The sequence below is a fragment of the Homo sapiens genome, chromosome 13, assembly GCF_000001405.40.
Source record: "Homo sapiens chromosome 13, GRCh38.p14 Primary Assembly".
Lineage (NCBI taxonomy): Eukaryota > Metazoa > Chordata > Mammalia > Primates > Hominidae > Homo > Homo sapiens.
Window position 1 is genome coordinate 40,833,289 of NC_000013.11, and position 21,976 is coordinate 40,855,264.

Here is a 21,976-nt window from a genome sequence, read left to right on the forward strand (position 1 = left end):
AAGCTACCAATGACTTTCTTCACAGAATTGGAAAAAACTACTTTAAAGTTCATATGGAACCAAAAAAGAGCCCGCATCGCCAAGTCAATCCTAAGCCAAAAGAACAAAGCTGGAGGCATCACACTACCTGACTTCAAACTATACTACAAGGCTACAGTAACCAAAACAGCATGGTACTGGTACCAAAACAGAGATATAGATCAATGGAACAGAACAGAGCCCTCAGAAATAATGCCGCATATCTACAACTATCTGATCTTTGACAAACCTGAGAAAAACAAGCAATGGGGAAAGGATTCCCTATTTAATAAATGGTGCTGGGAAAACTGGCTAGCCATATGTAGAAAGCTGAAACTGGATCCCTTCCTTACACCTTATACAAAAATCAATTCAAGATGGATTAAAGACTTAAACGTTAGACCTAAAACCATAAAAACCCTAGAAGAAAACCTAGGCATTACCATTCAGGACATAGGCATGGGCAAGGACTTCATGTCTAAAACACCAAAAGCAATGGCAACAAAAGCCAAAATTGACAAATGGGATCTAATTAAACTAAAGAGCTTCTGCACAGCAAAAGAAACTACCATCAGAGTGAACAGGCAACCTACAAAATGGGAGAAAATTTTCGCAACCTACTCATCTGACAAAGGGCTAATATCCAGAATCTACAATGAACTCAAGCAAATTTATAAGAAAAAAAAACCCCATCAAAAAGTGGGTGAAGGACATGAACAGACACTTCTCAAAAGAAGACATTTATGCAGCCAAAAAACACATGAAAAAATGCTCATCATCACTGGCCATCAGAGAAATGCAAATCAAAACCACAATGAGATACCATCTCACACCAGTTAGAATGGCAATCATTAAAAAGTCAGGAAACAACAGGTGCTGGAGAGGATGTGGAGAAATAGGAACACTTTTACACTGTTGGTGGGACTGTAAACTAGTTTAACCATTGTGGAAGTCAGTGTGGCGATTCCTCAGGGATCTAGAACTAGAAATACCATTTGACCCAGCCATCCCATTACTGGGCGTATACCCATAGGACTATAAATCATGCTGCTATAAAGACACATGCACACGTATGTTTACTGCGGCATTATTCACAATAGCAAAGACTTGGAACCAACCCAAATGTCCAACAATGATAGACTGGATTAAGAAAATGTGGCACATATACACCATGGAATACTATGCAGCCATAAAAAATGATGAGTTCATGTCCTTTGTAGGGACATGGATGAAATTGGAAATCATCATTCTCAGTAAACTATCGCAAGAACAAAAAACCAAACACCGCATATTCTCAGTCATAGGTGGGAATTGAACAATGAGATCACATGGACACAGGAAGGGGAATATCACACTCTGGGGACTGTGGTGGGGTGGGGGGAGGGGGGAGGGATAGCATTGGGAGATATACCTAATGCTAGATGACGAGTTAGTGGGTGCAGCACACCAGCATGGCACATGTATACGTATGTAACTAACCTGCACAATGTGCACATGTACCCTAAAACTTAAAGTATAATAATAAAAAGTAAATAAATAAATAAATAAAAGAAAAGAAAAAGGAAAGGAAGGAAAGAAAGAAATAACCAAGTAACTAACTAAATAAATTAGAGTTGTATTCCAAGAGCCAAAGGGGATGACCCAGTTTATTTGGAATGAAGTCTGTTGGTCAAGCTACTGATGGAAATAAGCTCAGGTACTACATTAGGGCTATTACATCTTAAGAGCTCAAAAGCCAAAGAAATAAGAGTGAAGTTGTTGAAGAATATGGTGGGGCATTTCCTATGTGACAGAGATGCCTGATAATTATCACATATAACACTTATTTAGTGATTTATAGTTTACAAAGAAACTTTATATATATTATCTAGTTTAATTCCCATAACACTTGAGATGTGATATTTATTTTACAGATAAAGGTGTTGAGCCAAAGGTGTTAACTGGCTCTGACCATGGGCACACAGTGTGTCTTCTGCTGCTCTACCTACAACTTTTCACAATGAGAGCAATATTTCAGGATGCATATTTCAGGATTCTATACATTGCATTATATAAGGAGAAAGAAAAGGTAACGAGACCATTGTAGAAATCTAAGCATGAGCAAATGAGGTTCTGGACAGTTAGTGGCAGTGAGAACAGAAAGGAAGGAGAACACAGAAAAATTTCAAAGGAATAATCAACAGGGATTGATAACTAACTGGATTTAGGGAGCCAAGGCAAAGAGAATCAAAGCACAGGGCCTGAGTCGGAGAATGCTGGTGCCATTTACAGAAGCAGAGAAAGCTCATTGATAATTCAGACTGGCTAATGCATTTGAGTTGGAGTGGAAACTGTTCATGTTGTAGCTTCTGCATCTACAACTCAGTGGGTTCTCATAAACATCTGTCCAGTACATGAACAAATAATAGTTTAAGAGGAATGGGTCATTCTTCAACCAAGAATAAAGCATTTGCTAAGAACAGAAAGCCAAGGGTCAGGCCTGGGTGAATGCCCTCAGTTGAGAGAGGCCAAAAAAAGGGGCGGGGGGCTATGCAGAGAGGGAAGGAATAGGGTTAGTAACAAGAGAATCTGAGACAAAGGCCTGGGTAGGAAAAGTTTATGGTTATTAGACCCATGAAGGAAGCTTTCTTATTGTTTCAGAAAAGGTATATAGTTTTAGGCATTTCTTCATTGCAGCAAAACATTGACTACCAGGTCCCTTTTGCTTTGGATAAAGAGATTCCTCCCCAGTTCATTCACTCTTGCATTATTTCTCATAGGGTCATCTCACAGAACGTCTGACTTAGAATCACTTGGGACATTGCTAAGTCTGTAGATTCCTGGCCCCCATTCCAGATTTCCCAAATCATACTTTGGGGGTACAACCTAAGCATGTAAATCTTTACAAGCTCCTCAGTAGTTTTCATGCTCACTAAAATTTTAGAATCAGTACTATATAATAAAAGATAAAATGAACAACAAGAGAATATGGCTAAAAATGACCAGATATGTAAATTAAAATCCTTAATACATTCCTGGTAACATGCTCAGCATTTGTGGAAAAGTGAAAGGCAAAGCAACACTGAACAGAAATAAATTCTGGAAAGGACCCTGAAAAAACTGTTTTGAACAAAGAGGTTAATTTATCTCTGGTTTGCATCCAAACCCAGTGACACCAAGTTGAATGGTAACCAGAAAGCGTTATGGACTCTCTATGGTGAGTGATCATTTAGGGAGGTGAACGTTGCTGCTTTGACATTCAGCCTTAAAACAAACATCAGATTTTTTTCAATTCACGTGTTTTCTCTTACCTAACAATTTCTTAAGTAAGTACAGGAAAAGACAACCTTTTTCTCCATCACTATTTTGACTTTTAGATCATATCCATCGCCTGCTCCAACACCTAAATGAAATTTAAAAGTTAGGTTGGTTAGCACGAAGATCAAAATATCTCACCAATTAACATCACGGATGAAAAAGAGAAAAAGTTATCCAAGCTAACAATGTATCAGTAGTTACTTACTTGGTCTTGCATGGATTTTGTCTTTGAAAGACAAGGCTTCAAGCCCAGTTCTGTCTCCTAAAGCAGATTTTATAAGACTAGAGGGTAGAAAAAAAAATACATATAGTTCAGCTTTAAAGACTTAGAATACCATCACTTTATCTTTCCAGAAAAAATATTTAGGGAAGGTGGGCTGGGCATGGTGGCTCACGCCACGATAATCCCAGCACTTTGGGAGGTCAAGGTGGATTGATTAATTGAGGTCAGGAGTTTGAGACCAACCTGGTCAACATGGTGAAACCCCATCTCTACTAAAAATGCAAAAATTAGCTGGGCGTGGTGGCACGTGCCTGTAATCCCAGCTACTTAGGAGGCTGAAATAGGAGAATCGCTTGAACCCAGGAGGCGGAGGTTGCAGTGAACCAAGACCACACTACTGCACTCCAGCCTAAATGACAGAGCAAGACCCTGTCTCAAAAAAAAAAAAAAAAAAAAAAAAAAGGAAAAATTTAGAGGTGACTTGCAACCTTTTTTGCTAATATGTTGCTTTCTTCAGACTTATAATCATAATGATTCTTAATAATAAATACGGTAGTCTAAACTACTTTGGCCCTAGTTTAAGTCTAGTTCCTGATGCAATCTGTATAAAAATATAGGATAGTTATATCCAAAAATTCCCGTGGTGTTCAGCATATATTTACGGACAAAGGCTCTTTTGCCCCTTTTTTTCAATTCAAACAACTCACTTCCTTTAGCATTTCCTCAAAGACTTGATTTCTCAGCCAATTAATTTTTTATTGCTTTTCTCTCAATTCTACATTAATTTTAATTAAATATGCACAAAATTAAAGGTAGATAATTAAAACAAATATTTTAATAGCTAGTGTATTAATTATTCTTGATTGCTCATCTTGTATGCTGTTTGTTTTCTTCTCGTTTAATTTTGGAAAGGAACAATCGGTACCAGCCACTGCAAAAACATGCCAAACTGTAAAGACCATCGATGCTAGGAAGAAACTGCCACAACTAACGAGCAAAATAACCAGCTAACATCATAATGACAGGATCAAATTCACACATAACAATATTAACCTTAAATGTAAATGGGATAAATGCCCCAATTAAAAGACACAGATTGGCAAACTGGATAAAGAGTCAGGACCCATCAGCGTGCTGTATTCAGGAGACCCATCTCACATTCAGAGACACATATAGGCTCAAAATAAAGGGGTGGAGGAAGATCTACCAAGGAAATGGAAAACAAAAAAAAAGCAGGATTGCAATCCTAGTCTCTGATAAAACAGACTTTAAACTAACAAAGATCAGAAGAGACAAAGAAGGCCATTACATAATGGTAAAGGGATCAATTCAACCAGAAGAGCTAACTATCCTAAATATATATGCACCCAATACAGGAGCACCCAGATTCATAAAGCAAGTCCTTAGAGACCTACAAAGAGACTCAGACTCCCACACAATAATAATGGGAGACTTTAACACCCCACCGTCAATATTAGACAGATCAACGAGACAGGTTAACAAGGATATCCAGGACTTGAACCCAGCTCTGCAGCAGCAGACCTAATAGACATCTACAGAACTCTCCACCCCAAATCAACAGAATATACATTCTTCTCAGCACCACATTGCACTTATTCCAAAATTGACCACATAGTTGGAAGTAAAGCACTCCTCAGCAAATGTAAAAGAACAGAAATCACAACAAACTGTCTCTCAGACCACAGTGCAATCAAATTAGAACTCAGGATTAAGAAACTCACTCAAAACCGCACAACTACATGGACACTGAACAACCTGCTCCTGAATGACTACCGGGCACATAATGAAATGAAGGCAGAAATACAGATGTTCTTTGAAACCAATGAGAACAAAGACACAATGTACCAGAATCTCTGGGACACATTTAAAGCAGTATGTAGAGGGAAATTTATAGCACTAAATGCCCACAAGAGAAAGCAGGAAAGATCTAAAATCGACACCCTAACATCACAATTAAAAGAACTAGAGAAGCAAGAGCAAACAAATTCAAAAGCTAGCAGAAGGCAAGAAATAACTAAGATCAGAGCAAAACTGAGGGAGATAGAGACACAAAAAACCCTTCAAAAAATCAATGAATCCAGGAGCTGGTTTTTTGAAAAGAGCAACAAAATTGATAGACCACTAGCAAGACTAATAAAGAAGAAAAGAGAGGAGAATCACATAGATGCAATAAAAAAGGATAAAGGGGATATCACCACCGATCCCACAGAAATACAAACTACCATCATAGAATATTATAAACACCTCTATGCAAATAAACTAGAAAATCTAGAAGAAATGGATAAATTCCTGGACACATACACCCTCCCAAGACTAAACCAGGAAGACATAAAATCCCTGAATAGACCAATAACAGGCTCTGAAATTGAGGCAATAATTAATAGGATACCAACCAAAAAAAGTCCAGGACCAGATGGATTCACAGCCGAATTCTCTAGAGGTACAAAGAAGAGCTGGTACCATTCCTTCTGAAACTATTCCAATCAACAGAAAAACAGGGAATCCTTCCTAACTCATTTTATGAGGCCAGCATCATTCTGATACCAAAGCCTGGCAGAGACGCAACAAAAAAAGACAATTTTAGACCAATATCCCTGATGAACATCAATGCAAAAATCCTCAATAAAATGCTGGCAAACCGAATCCAGCAGTACATCAGAAAGCTTACCCACCAAGATCAAGTTGGCTTCATCCCTGGGCTGCAAGGCTGATTCAACATACACAAATCAATAAACGTAATCCATCACATAAACAGAACAAAAGACAAAACCACACGATTATCTCAATAGATGCAGAAAAGGCCTTTGACAAAATTCAACAACACTTCATGCTAAAAACTCTCAATAAACTAGGTATTGATGGGACGTATCTCAAAATAATAAGAGCTATTTATGACAAACCCGCAGCCAGTATCATACTGAATGGGCAAAAACTGGAAGCATTCCCTTTGAAAACTGGCACAAGACAGGGATGCCCTCTCTCACCACTCCTATTCAACATAGTGTTGGAAGTTCTGGCCAGGGCAATCAGTAAAGAGGAAGAAATAAAGCGTATTCAATTAGGAAAAGAGGAAGTCAAACTGTTCCTGTTTGCAAATGACATGATTATATATTTAGGAAACCCCATTGTCTCAGCCCAAAATCTCCTTAAGCTGATAGGCAACTTCAGCAAAGTCTCAGGATACAAAATCAATGTGCAAAAATCACAAGCATTCCTATACACCAACAACAGACAAACAGAGAGCCAAATCATGAGTGAACTCCCATTCACAATTGCTTCAAAGAGAATAAAATACCTAGGAATCCAACTTACAAGGGATGTAAAGGACCTCTTCAAGGAGAACTACAAACCACTGCTCAATGAAATAAAGGAGGACATAAACAAATGGAAAAACATTCCATGCTTATAGATAGGAAGAATCAATATTGTGAAAATGGCCTTACTGCCCAAGGTAATTTATAGATTCAATGCCATCCCCATCAAGCTACCAATGATTTTCTTCACAGAATTGGAAAAAAACTACTTTAAAGTTCATATGGAACCAAAAAAGAGCCTGCATTGCCAAGACAGTCCTAAGCCAAAAGAACAAAGCTGGAGGCATCATGCTACCTGACTTCAAACTAAACTACAAGGCTACAGTAACCAAACAGCATGGTACTGGTACCAAAACAGAGATATAGACCAATGGTACAGAACAGAGGACTCAGAAATAACACCATACATCTACAACCATCTGATCTTTGACAAACCTGAGAAAAACAAGAAATGGGGAAAGGATTCCCTATTTAATAAATGGTGCTGGGAAAACTGGCTAGCCATATGTAGAAAGCTGAAACTGGATCCCTTCCTTACATCTTATACAAAAATTCAAAATGGATTAAAGACTTAAATGTCAGACCTAAAACCATAAAAACCCTAGAAGAAAAGCTAGCCAATACCATTCAGGACATAGGCATGGGCAAGGTATTCATGACTAAAACACCAAAAGAAATGGCAACAAAAGCCAAAATAGACAAATGGGATTTAATTAAACTAAAGAGCTTCTGCACAGCAAAAGAAATTACCATCAGAGTGAACAGGCAACTTACAGAATGGGAGAAAATTTTTGCAATCTACCCATCTGACAAAGGGCTAATATCCAGAATCACAACGAACTTAAACAAATTTACAAGAAAAAATCAAACAACCCCTTCAAAAAGCGGGCAAAGGATATGAACAGACACTTTTCAAAAGAAGACATTTATGCAGCCAACAGGCACATGAAAAAGTGCTGATCATTGCTCATCATCAGAGAAATGCAAATCAAAATCACAATGAGATACCATCTCACTGTTAGAATGGTGATCACTAAAAAGTCAGGAAACAGGTGCTGGAGAGGATGTGGAGAAACAGGAATGCTTTTACACTGTTGGTGGGACTGTAAACTAGTTCAACCATTGTGGAAGACAGTGTGGCAGTTCCTCAAGGATCTAGAACTAAAAATACCATTTGACCCAGCAATCCCATTACTGGGTATATACCCAAAGGATTATAAATCATGCTGCTATAAAGACACATGCACGTGTATGTTTATTGCAACACTATTCACAATAGCAAAGACTTGGAACCAACCCAAATGTCCATCAATGATAGATTGGATTAAGAAAATGTGGCACATATACACCATGGAATACTATGCAGCCATAAAAAAGGATGAGTTAATGTCCTTTGTAGGGACATGGATGAAGCTGGAAACCATAATTCTCAGCAAACTATCGCAAGGACAGAAAACCAAACACCGCATGTTCTCACTCATAGGTGGGAACTGAACAATGAGAACACTTGGACACAGGGCATGGAACATCACACACTGGGGCCTGTTTTGAGGTGGGGGGATGGGGGAGGGATAGCATTAGGAGAAATACCTAATGTAAATGATGATTTAATGGGTGCAGCAAACCAACACGGCACATGTATACCTATGTAACAAACCTACACATTGTGCACATGTACCCTAGAACTTAAAGTATAATAAAAAAAATTCTTTGAAAAAAATGAAAACAGAAACACAACATACCAAAATCTCTGAGATGCAGCAAAAGCAGTGTGTGGACAGGAAAGTTTATAGTGCTAAATGTGTACCACAATAAGCTAGTAAAATCTTGAATTAATGATATAACATCACACCTAGAGAAATTAGAAAAACAAGAACCCCAAACCTAGCAGAAGAAAAAAAATAAAATCAGAGCAAAACTGAGTAAAATTGAGACCCCTAAATCAAAACAAAGAGTCAAAGAAACAAAAAGTTGGTTCTTTGAAAAGATAAACAAAATTGATAGACTGCTAGCTAGATTAACAAAGATAAAGAAAGAAGATCCAAATAAGCATAATCAGAAATGACAAGGTGACATTACAACCAATCTCACAGAAATACAAAATGTCCTCAGAGACTATTATGAACACCTCTGTGCACACACACTGGATAATGTAGAGGAAATTAATAAATTCTTGGAAACATAGAATCTCCCAAGATTGGATCAAAAAGAAACTGAAACCCTGACCTGACCAATACCAAGCTCCAAAATTGAGTCCATAATTTAAAAAACCTATGAACCAGCAGGGCGCAATGGCCCATGCCTGTAATCCCAGCACTTTGGGAGGCCAAGGCGGGCAGATCACAAGGTCAGTAGTTCAAGACCAGCCTGGCCAATATGGTGAAACCCTGTCTCTACTAAAAATACAAAAATTAGCCGGGCATGGTGAACGGTACCTGTAATTCTAGCTACTCAGGAGGCTGTGGCAGGAGAATCGCTTGAACCTGGGAGGCAGAGGTTGCAGTGAGCGGAGATTCTGCCACTGCACTCCAGCCTGGGTGACAGAACAAGACTCCATCTCAAAAAAAAAAAAATAAAATAAACTTATAAACCAAAAAAGCCCTAGATCAGATGTATTCACAGCTGAATTCTATCAAATATAAAAAAGAAGAACTGGTACCAGTTCTATTGAAACTGTTCCAAAAAATTGAGGAGGGACTCATCCCTAATTCATTCTATGAAGCCAGCATTACCCTGAAACCAAAACCTGGCAAAGACACAATTAAAAAAATAAAAAGAAAAAGAAAACTAAAGGCTAATCTCAATGATGAAGATAGCTACAAAAATCTTGAACAAAATACTAGGAAACCAAATCCAACAGCACATTAAAAAGTTAACTCGCCATGATCCAGTAAGCTTCATTCCAAGGATACAAGATTCAGCATACGCAAATCAATAAATGTGATTCACCACACAAACAGAATTAAACAGAAATCATATGATCATCTCAATAGATGCAAAAAAAAAAAAAGCTTTTGATAAAATTCAACATCCTTCTTGATAAAAAAAACACTCAAGAAACTAGGAATCAAAGGAACATACTTCAAAATAGAGTCATCGGCTGGGGGCGGTGGCTCGTCTGTAATTCCCGCACTTTGGGAGGCCAAGGCGGGCGGATCACTTGAGATCAGAAGTTCAAGACCAGCGTGGCCAACATAGTGAAACCCCATCTCTACTAAAAATACAAAAATTAGCCAGGCATGGTTGCACACGGCTGTAATCCCAGACACTCAGGAGGCTGAGGCAGCAGAATCGTTTGAACCTGGGAGGCGGAGGTTGTAGTAAGCCGAGATCATGCCACTGCACTCCAGCCTGGGTGATAGAGCGAGACTCCATCTCAAGAAGAAGAAAACAAAAATAGAGACATCTATGGCAAACCCACAGCCAACATCATAACAGGCAAAAGCTGGAAGCTTCTCTATGTGAACTGGAAGAAGACAAGAATGCCTAGTCCCACCACTCCTATTTAACATAGTAGTTAAAGTCTTTTGCCAGAGCAATCAGGCAAAAGAAAGAAAAAAAAGGCATCCAAATAGGAAAAGAAAAAGTCAGACTATCTCTCTTCATCAACTGTATGATTCTATATCTACACAATCCAAAGAACTCCACCAAAAGGCACTTGGAACTGATAAATGACTTCAGTAAAGTTTTAGGATACAAAATCAATGTACAAAAATCAGTAGCATTTCTATACACCAATAATGTCCAAGCTGACAGCCAAATCAAGAACATAATCCCCTTTACAACAGCCACAAAAAATACAATACCTAGTTATACAGCTAACCAAGGAGGTGAAAGATCTCTACAAGGAGAACTACAAAACACTGCTGAAAGAAATCATAGATGACACAAACAAATGGAAAAACATTCCATGCTAATGGACTGGAAGAATCAATATCATTAAAATGGCCATGCTACTGAAGCAATCTATAGGATCAACATTTTTCCAGTCAAGCTACTAATATCATTTTTTTTACAGAACTAGAAAAAACTATTCCAAAATTCATGTGGAACCAAAAAAGAGCCTGAATAGCCAAAGCAATCCTAAACAAAAAGAACAAAGCTAAAAGCATCACATTACCCAACTTCAAACTATACCATAAGGCCACAGTAACCAAAATAGTGTCATACTGGGGGAAAAAAAAAAGACAAATAGACCAAAGGAACAGAAGAAGAACTCAGAAATAAAGCCAAACACAGAAATAAAGCCAAACACAGAAAGCCATCTGATCTTTGACAAAGTCAACAAAAATAAGCAATAGGGAAATGACTTCCTATTTAATAAATGGATAGTGGGCTAGCCATATGCAAAAGAATGGCTAGCTAGGATAGTGGGCTAGCCATATGCAAAAGAATGATCTGTACCTATGCCTTTCACCATATACAAAAATTAACTCAAGATAGATTAAAGACTTAATTGTAAGACCTCAAATTATAAGAATACCAGGAGAAAACCTAGAAAACAACATTCTGGATATTGGCCTTGGAGAAGAATTTATGACTAAGTTTTCAAAAGCAATTGCAACAAAAACTGACAAGTGGAAGCTAATTAAACTATAGAGCTTCTGCACAGCAAAGAAACTATCAACAGAGTAAACAGACAACCTATAGAATGGCAGAAAATATTTGCACACTATGCATCTGACAAAGGTTTTATATTCAGAATCTGTAAGAAACTCAAACAATTATTTAGGCAAAAACCAAAAAGCCCCATTAAAAATGGGCAAAAGATATAAACATACACCTCTCAAAAGAAGACATATGAGTGGCCAACAAACATATGAGAACATAGAACTACCATTTGACATTGCAATCCCATTACTGGGCATACATCCAAAGGAAAATAAATGCTACCAAAAAGACATGCACTGATATGCGCTTCTCAGCAACACTGACAATAGGAAAGACATAGAATCAACCTAGGTGCCCATCAATGGTGGACTGGATAAATAAAATGTGATACATATACACCATGGAATACTACACATTCATAAAAAAAATAAAATCATGGCTGGGTGCAGTGGTACATATACACCATGGAATACTACATTTTCATAAAAAATAAAATAAAATCATGCCTGGGCGCAGTGGTACATATACACCATGGAATACTACATATTCATAAAAAATAAAATAAAATCATGCCCGGGCGCAGTGGCTCACACCTGTAATCCCAGCACTTTGGGAGGCCGAGGCGGGTGGATCACCTGAGGTCAGGAGTTTGAAACCAGTCTGGCCAACATGGCAAAACCCCGTCCCTACTAAAAATACAAAAATTAGCCGGATGTGGTGGCAGGTGCCTGTAATCACAGCTACTCGGGAGGCTTAGGCAGGAGAATCTCTTGAACTTGGGAGGCAGAGGTTGCAGTGAGCCAAGATCACACCATTGCACTCCAGCCTGGGCAACAAGAGTGAAACTCTGTCTCAAAAAAAAAACAAAAACAAAATTATGCCCTATGCAGCATCATGTATGCAGCTGGAAGTCATTATCCTAAGCAAATTAATGCAGGAACAAAAAACCAAATACCATTTGTTCTCACTCATAAGTGAAAGCTAAACAATAGGTGCTCATGGACATCAAGGTGGCAATAATGGACACTGGGGAATTCTAGAGGGGGCACAGCAGAAAAGGGCACAGGCTGAAAAACCAACTATTGGGTCCTAAGCTCAGTACCTGGGTGATGCAATCAATCATACCCCAAACCTCAGCATCACACAATATATCCAGGTAATAAACCTGCATATGTACTTCCAAGTCTAAAATAAAAGTTAAATTATACCAAAAAAACTAAGCTCAAAAAGAAAAAGATGTCTTCTGCCCATTAAAAAAACAAGTAAATAAAGAATATGAGAATCATCCTATATCAGAAATCTATACTAATATAATTTATCATATTCATAGATTAAAGAAGACATACCTTACAATTATCTCAATTAATGCAGGAAAAAGCATTCACTAAAATTCAGCCTACACCTGTGACTTTAAAAATTAACAAAAACTAGGAAACTTCCTTAACTCAACAAAGAAAATCTAGCAAAATACCTACCAGGAACATCATATTAATGATGTAATATTGATAGCATTTTCTTTAAAGCCTGGAATTAAACAAAAATGCCTTCGGTTCATTGCTTCCATTTAACAATATACTGCAGAGCCTAACCAGTGTAGTCAGTGTAGTAAGTAAATCTGTAGAATAACTCCTTAGTCTAATGAGAGAGTTTAGGAAGATTTCTAGATGCAGGCTCAACATAAACAAAAATTAATAGCTAAATCAAGGAGGCAAGTTGAAATCTTTACAGTAATCGCTAAAAACATAGAAAAGGAGTACATGACTTTCAAGGTAATGACAGAAGGTGAGAAGGAAAGAATTATATTATTAAAATTCAATCAAACCAAAATGAAAGTCAGTAAGAATATAGAAGAGTTAAATAAAATAATTAACAAATAGATATACATAGAACACTGTTCTCAACAATGCATAATACATGTTCTTTACAAATGTACAGAAAAAATTTGACCAAACATCGACCAAATTCTGGGCCAAAAAGCAAGTCTAAACAAATTTCAAAGAAGTGAAAAAAATACATATGTTCTGTGTCCACAATACAGCATAACCAGAAATCAAAAACTTAAAGATCAATACAAAATTCTCATATGTTTGGAAATAAGGAAGTATACTTGTACATAACTCATGGGTCAAAAAAAAAAACAAGCATAGTCAAAGTTGGAAAATAGTTTGAACTAAGTAAAATGAAAACACTACAAATAAAAATTTATGGGATGAAGCTAAAGCAATTCTTAGAGGAAAATTTATAGCCTTAAATGCTAAATAGAAAAGAGAACGGCCAACACTCTAAGAATTACCCATCTCAAGAAGTCAGGAAAAGAACAAATTAACCCAAGGAGTACAGAAGAAAACACTAAATATAATAATAATTGATGAAATAAAAAATAGAGAACACCAATAAGGCCCAAAATTTGTTACTTTTGAAAAACTAGTAAAATTGATAAATCCCTGGTGAGACTAATCAAAAGAAAAAAGGGGAGAAGGTACCAAGTAAGCAATGTAAGAAATAAAAAAGGGAACACCTCTGTAGACATCAAAATGTTTAAATGATATGGTGAACAATTTGATGTCAGGACATTTGGAAAGTTAGATTAAATGGAAAATCACTGGGAAAACTATAACCTACCAAAATGGGCAAAAGAAATAAAATTATAAAAAATTCTATATATGGAATTGAGTCATAATTTAAAAACTTCTCTCCAGAGAAAACTCTAGGCCAATGTGGCTTCACCGGTGAATTTCACTTTACACTTAAGAAGAAAAAAAATCAACATGCATAAATTCACCCAGAGAATAAAAAAAGAGAAAATGAAATCTAACTCATTTTACAAAGCCAAGATTTGAAAAAACTATGAGAAAGGAAAATTATAACCAATTGCCCTGATGACATGAATTTGAAAATCCTAAATATTAACAAACAGAATCCCGCAATTTAATAATAAAATAATTTAATAATTATTTCATAAAATAATATAGTACAACTGAATTACATTTGTTCCAGAAATAAGTTGGTTTACCACTTAATCAATCAATGTAATTAACCACATTTATTTATAGGATAAAGGAGAAAAATTATCATCTCAAAGATTCAGAAAAATCTGAAAAAATTCAACACATTCATGATTGAAAAAAAAAAAACTCTTAGCAAACTAAATGATTTTCTTTTTTCTTTCTTCCTTTTTTTTTTTTTTTTGTTTTGTTTTTTGAGACAGTCTCACTCTGTCATCCAGGCTGGAGAACAGCAGTGCAATCTTGGCTCACTGCGACCTCTGCCTCCTGGGTTCAAGCGATTCTCGTGCCTCAGCTGGAGTAGTTGGGATTACAGGCATGTGTCACCACACCCGGCAAATTTTTGTATTTTTAGTAGAGACGGGGTTTCACCATGTTGCCCAGGCTGATCTTGACCTCCTAGCCTCAAGTGATCTGCACCCCTGGGCCTCCCAAAGTGCTGGGATTACAGGTCTAAGCCATGGCGCCCAGCCGAGGAATTTCTTAATCTGATAAATGGTAGGTAACACACACACACACACACACACACACACACACACACTCGTAAAGCAATTGGAGAGACATGGAAAGCTTTTCCTTTGAGAATGGAACTGTACGTTGATGGTTGCTATTGCCACTTCTAATTCTACACTGTACTGAATGTTCTAGCCACTGCTAAAGGAGAGAAATGACTGAAATGGAGAAAATACAATTTGTTATTTTTATATGATATAATCATGTAACATAAAATCCAAAATAATCTATTGATAAATTCATAGAACTAATAAGTGAGTTTAGGGTAGGCACGGTGGCTCAGGCCTGTAGTCCTAGCACTTTGGGAGGTGGAGGCTGAGGCTGGCAGATCACTTGAGCCCAGGAGTTTTGAGACCAACCTGGGCAACAGGGCAAAACCCCGTCTCTACAAAAAGGTCAAGAAATTAGCTGGGCATGATGGCACCTGCCTGCAGTCTTAGTTACTTGAGAGGCTGATATGGGAGGATCGCCTGAGCCCAGGGAGGTTGAGGCTGCAGTGAGCCATGATCATGCCACTGCACTCCAGCCTGGGTGACAGAATGAGACCCTGCCTCAAAAAAAAAGAGTGAGTTTAGTAAAGTTGCTAATTGCAAGATTAATAAATAAAGTGAACTGCATTTAAAACAACAAAAAAACATTTAGATAATAAACATTTTAAAAGTATATAATTTAAATAACCACAAAATATCAAATATCTAGGAATAAATATCACCAAAAATATGCAAGCTTTCTATACAGAAAATGAGAAAGCATTGTAAAGAGAAATTGAAGAGGACCTAACTAAATGAGAGAATACTTCTGTTCATGGGTTGGATGAGTCAATATTGTGAAGATTCAATTCTCCCCAATCTATAAATTCAACGCAATCCCAAACAAATTTCTATCAGTTGTGTGTAACTTGACTAGTTGATTCCCAAATTTATATGGAAATGTAGATGGCCTAAAATACCCTAACAACTGTGAAGAAAAAGATGATTGTGCTCACATGACTGGAAATGAGGACTTGTTAGAAAGCCACAGTAAGATAGTTGTGCTATTGGCACACAGATGAAAAATCAATGCACAGAATAGAAAGGTTAGAAACAGATTCATGTTCTGCAGGGTAGTAAAGAAATGAAAATATTCTCAACTAGTGTGCTGGAATAATTGGATAGCCATATATGGAAAAAGATTAAACCTGACGCCTTCCTCACACCACACACATAAACCAATTTTAACAGGAATGAACCTTCTAGAAGAAAATATAGTAGTAAAATATCCTTTAAACTCAAGGAAAATTTTCTGAATCAGGACACAAAAACACAAACTTTATAAAGGGAAAGCATGATACACATGATGGTAATACAACTAAGAACTTCTGTTAACCAAAAGATACTCCTAAGAGAGAAAAAAGGCAAATTATAGAGCAGAAAAGCTTTCTTGAAATACATATATGGCCAATAACAGAAATTGAAATCAGAATACATAAAGAACTCCTACAAATCAAGAGAAAAAAGACGAATAATCCAGGAGAAAAATGGGTAAGAAAATTAAAAAGTTACTTTGCAAAAAAGGATATCCAAATACTTAATAATCTTAAGAAAACATCCTCAATCTTATTAGTAATTATAGAAATGCAAATGATCACCACCATAAAATGCCATCACACAAACACCCAATGGCTAAAAATAAAAATACTCAGAATTGCAAGTATTGGGGAAGATATAGAACGCCTGGAGTGTACAAGTGGAGTAAAAATTGGTACAACTGTTTTAGAAAACAGGTAACATTATCAAGTAAAGTTCAAGACTCATTACCCTAAGACAGAACAATTTTAGTCCAAGGTACATACTCAACAAAAATATGGCCACATGTGCAACAAGAAACGTGTATTTTTAAAAGCAGCATTATTGGGCTGGGTGCAGTGGCTCATACCTGTAATCCCAGCAGTTTGGGAGGCCGAGGCAGACAGATCACTTGAGGTCAGGAGTTCAAGACCAGCCTGGCCAACATGATGAAACCCCATCTCTATTAAAAATACAAAAACTAGCTGGGTGTGTTGGTGGGCGCCTGTAATCCCAGCTACTTGGGAGGCTCAGGCACGAGAATTGCTTGAACCCAGGAGGCAGAGGTTGCAATGAACTGAGATCGTGCCACTGCACTCCAGCCTGTGTGACAGAGTGAGACTTTATCTCAAAAAAAAAAAAAAAATCAGCATTATTTATCACAGTAAAAATTGGAAACAACCCAAATGTAATAGAAAAAAAGAGATTCCATTTGCAGTCACAGTTTGTGTAGGAATGAATTTTTGAAAAGATGTGCAAACACATGATGAAGAAAAGTATAAAATATTATTAAAGAATGAACAAGATGATTCACATGTACAACTCAATATTGCAAAGTTGTCAGTTCTCTCAAGTTAATCTATAAATTCAATGTAGTTCCAATAAAAATCCTAAATGTGTTTTATTATGGCACTTGAAAAAATGATTTTAAAATTGAATGTAATAATAAAGTTCCAAGAAGAGCAAGACAATTCTGCCTTTATCAAACTATATTATAAGGCCACAATAATTACAAAAGTGGTATAGAGAACTTAGAAACAGTTTTGAATACTTACAGAAACTTGGTATGTGACTGAGAGGGATTACAAATTAATGGAGAACCAAATAGCATGCAATTGATGGTGTTAGCACAATTGGCTATCCATATGAAAAAAAAACTTCCCCCAACTTCCAATTAGATTAAAGACTCAAATATTAAAAATGAAACTTGAATATTTTTGAAGAAATGTGGAATATCTTTACTAAATCAGTATAGGGGTGAATTTCTTAAACATGATAGAAAGGCATGAAATACATACACATACATAGATGAACACATTTTACTACATTCAAAATTACAAACTTCTCTCTGAGCACAATGGCTCATGCCTGTAATCCCAGCACTTTGAGAAGCTGAGGTGGGTGGATCATTTGAGTCCAGGAGTTCAAGACCAGTCTGGGCAACACAGCAAGACCCTGTCTCTACAAAAAATACAAAAATTAGCCAGGCATGGTGGTGCTTGCATGTAGTCCTACCTACGCAGAGGGCCCGAGGTGGGAGGATCACTTGAGTCCCAGAAGGTTAAAGCTGCAATGAGCTGAGATTGTGCCACTGCACTCCAGCCTGGGTGACAGAGCGAGACCATGTCTCAAAACAAAACAAAAATTTACAAACTTTTGCACAACAAAATAAATCACAATCAAATTTAAAAGGCAACACATTGGGAGAATATACTTATAATACTAAGAAAAATTGGCGGTGAGATTCTTTGAAGAACTCCTATAAATCAATATAAAATATTTTTACTATCATGATACTACTGGTAACCTGCAGGCAGCAACCAACTAGAAGACAGCAAGACTAATATGAATGAACACTTAAAAAAAGAGGCTGCTCTGGTACATACCAGCTGAATATTAGCCCTCTAAACAACCTTTAAAAAAATCAACAAAATATTATGTGAACACAGAATAATGTAAACCCCCTCTCAGCAAAAAAGTAAAAAGTCAAATTTGAAATGAATGCTTTCCTTCAAGCAAGGAATGTTTTCCTTCAAGAAAGGAATTAGCATTAGCTAATAGAAAACTGCTGCGAACTGCTTGAATAATAACATTTTAGGTTGGACAATGTGAAATGGCCATTTTTAAAGCAAAAGATGGTTAAAAACTGGCAATTTCAAATGATTCAACCTCTATATTTTTAATTTAACTATGGTATTATAAATTGCCAGTTTATACACAATATTCCAACCTGTAGAGCTAAACACAGAACCTGTATATTAACTAATATACAGCTAAACACAGAACGTGTATATTAAGCAATGGGCTTGAAACTAGTCAATAAGACTTGAAATTAGTCAATAAGACTAAAACTTGATTTTACTGAATTATATAAGTCAGTTTACAGTGTTATGTTTTCCTGGAATTTGATATAAAAATTGATTTAGAGCCCACCAAAAATGTAATTCTTTATGTTTGTCAAAAATTGTGAAATATGCTTAGATGATTATTCAAAACCCAAACCTGAATGAGAGAAAATCTAACTGAACTTAAATTGGTTGGATTTACAAATGGCTTTTTCCCCCCATTTTAACCTCACCAATGTCAACTTCTTTGTATCATCACACTATAAAAATTCCAGTATAATTTTTGAAATAGCATCTCCGTTGGCTCCCTTAATCTAAAAGAGTCTCACAAAGTTTAAGAACAACCTTAAATAATACTGGAACAAAAATGGACATATAGACCAATGGAACAGAATAGAAAGCCCAAAATAAATCCATGCATTTATAGTCAGCTGATTTTTGACAAAGGTGCCAAGAATCCACGATGGCGAAAGGACAGTCTCTTCAATAAGTGATACTGGGGAAACTGGATATCCACTTGTAGAAGAATGAAATTGCACCCTATCTCACCCAATATACAAAAATGAACTCAAAGTAAACACTTAACTGTGAAACCTGAAACTGGAAAACTACTAGAAGAAAACATAGGGGAAAATGTTCTTGACATTGGTCTGGGTCAAGATTTTTTTTAATGTGACTGACAAACATAGGCAACAAAATAAAAAATAGACAAATGATACTGTATCAAACTAAAAAGCTTTTGCAGAGCAAAGGAAACAAATATAGAGTAAAGAGACAACCTACAGAATGGGAGAAAATATCTTCAAAGCATACATTCAATAAAAGGTTAATTTTTTTTAAAGGAACTCAAACAACACAATAGCAAGAGAACAAGTTACTTCTCTAGAAAATGGGCAAAGAACCTGAAATTCCCCAAAAGAAGACATACAAATGGCCAAGAGGTATAAGAAAAAATGCTAAACATCATTAATCATCAGGGAAAAGCAAATTAAAACCACAAAGAGATATCCTCACACCTGTTCAGATGGTCATTAACAAAAAGACAAAAGAGTTGGTGAGGATGTAGAGAAAAGAGAACCCTCTTATACACTGTTGATGTGAATGTAAATTAGTAGTTATTATGGAAAACAGCATGGAGGGTCCTCAAAAAACTAGAAATAAAACTACCATATGATTTGGAGATTCCTCTGCTGGGTATATATCCAAAGGAAATGAAATTTGCACTGCCATGTTCACTGCAGCATTATTCATAATAGCCAAGCTATGGAGTCAATCTAAATGCTATCAATGGATGAATGGATAAAGAATATGTGGTATATATACATAAGGACACACTACTCAGCCTTAGATATCCTGTCACTTGAGGTAATATGGATGAACCTGATGTTATGCTAAGTGAAATAAGCCAGGCATAGAAAGACAAATACTGTGTCTCACTTATTTGTGGAATCTAAGAAAGTCAAATTCATAGAAGCAGAGAGTAGAATGGTAGTTACCAGGGGCTGGGGGGACAAAAGTGGGGGGATTGTGGAGATGTTGGTTTTTATTTTATTTTATTTGTTTTGAGATGGAGTTTCATTCTTGTTGCCTAGGCTGGAGTGCAGTGGCGCGATCTCAGCTCACTACAACCTCCACCTTACGCATTCAAGCGATTCTCCTGCCTCAGTCTCCTGAGTAGCTGGGATTACAGGTACCCACCACACCTGGCTAATTTTTTGTATTTTTAGTAGAGACGGGGTTTCACCATGTTGGCCAGGCTGGTCTCAAACTCCTGACCTCAGGTGATCCACCTACCTCGGCCTTTCAAAGTGCTGGGATTATGGGTGTAAGCCACCATGCCCGGCCTGAGATGTTGGTTAAAGGATACAAAATTTCAGTTAGACAGGAAGAGTAAGTTCAGGAAATTTACTGTACAACATAGTGACCATAGTTAATAATAATGTATACTTGAAAATTGCTGAGAGAGTAGATTTTAAATGTTCTCACCACAAAAAAGTATGTGGAGTAGTGCATATGTTAATTAGCTTGATTTAGCCATTTCACAATGTTTACATATATCAAAACATCATGTTGTACACCATAAATATATTGATTTTTTATTTGTTAATTTAAAAATAAAAAAGAGTAGCCTTAAATAAAATAAAAGTACTCTGACATTCTAAAATTAAAGACTATTTTGAGAGATATAAACTGGCAAAACAAGAATAAAGAAATCCAAATAGTAGAAAAACAAGGAAAAATATGCTCAACCTTCCTTAGTTCTTTTTTCCTACTTTCTTCCCTTCCTTATCCTCTCCCTATCTCCTACCCTTCCTCCTCTCCTCTTTCCTTTCTCCTTCCCTTCTTCTAGTCTTGGAGCTAATATTTTAAAATGCTAACAATTATTAATACTTATTAATAGCAATATGTATCTTGTTCTTGTACTTTATCCATATTTACATGTCTTTAGAAAGGGAGAAATAAAAAGGAAAATGTTATTACCTTTGCCTCCTTTACAGTGAATCACTATGATGTTTTCAGGATCTTGAGTCATCCACTCATTTACTTCCTTGGAGAATACCACCATCTTACTGATTTCAAGTTTAATATTTTTAGTTAAATTAAAATATTTTCAGAAAACCAAGCCCAATATATTTAGCCCTCTTCTGATAGTCAACTTAGCATAAAACTTACTGTAGAGTGGGGACATAATGATCATCAATCATGATTCTACTGACCCTAATATGGAAGTGCTTAGGATCATAAGCTCTTTCACCTAAAATAAATAATATGTATGTTATATCTCTACAGGTAATAACACAGTAAATAATGAAGTTATGAATAAGTTAACATATCTTATTAGAAATTCCTTATCCATCTTCAAAGAGAGCTTTCCAAGTTGCTCCTGCTGCTCTAAAATAAAGGTAAGGGTCTCAAAAACGTAAGGATAGTAGTGGTTTATCCATCTCATGTAACCTAAACTCAACTTATTTTTGTTTAATAGGTATAATTTTTAACTTTCTAGCAGACTATTCATTATATTATTGCAGGGTAGTTAGAACCCACACAAGAGGCAAATGTAGCTGACCAAAATGATTGCCCCCCT

The 21,976-nt window shown here is 36.5% G+C and overlaps 1 pseudogene across 2 annotated transcripts in view; it reads right to left on the minus strand.

Moving 5' to 3' along the window:
- TPTE2P5 (TPTE2 pseudogene 5) overlaps nucleotides 1-21,976 on the minus strand; it is a 124,766-nt pseudogene that overhangs the window by 36,304 nt on the left and 66,486 nt on the right. Inside the window, exons 3-6 of one of the 2 annotated variants that reach the window (NR_038258.1) lie at nucleotides 21,565-21,646; nucleotides 21,373-21,461; nucleotides 3,521-3,597; nucleotides 3,309-3,400 (exon numbers count right to left, since the gene is read on the minus strand). The product of NR_038258.1 is annotated as a TPTE2 pseudogene 5, transcript variant 1 (transcript). The remainder of the gene's footprint in view (nucleotides 1-3,308; nucleotides 3,401-3,520; nucleotides 3,598-21,372; nucleotides 21,462-21,564; nucleotides 21,647-21,976) is intronic. The other variant, NR_038259.1, reaches the window with a different exon arrangement.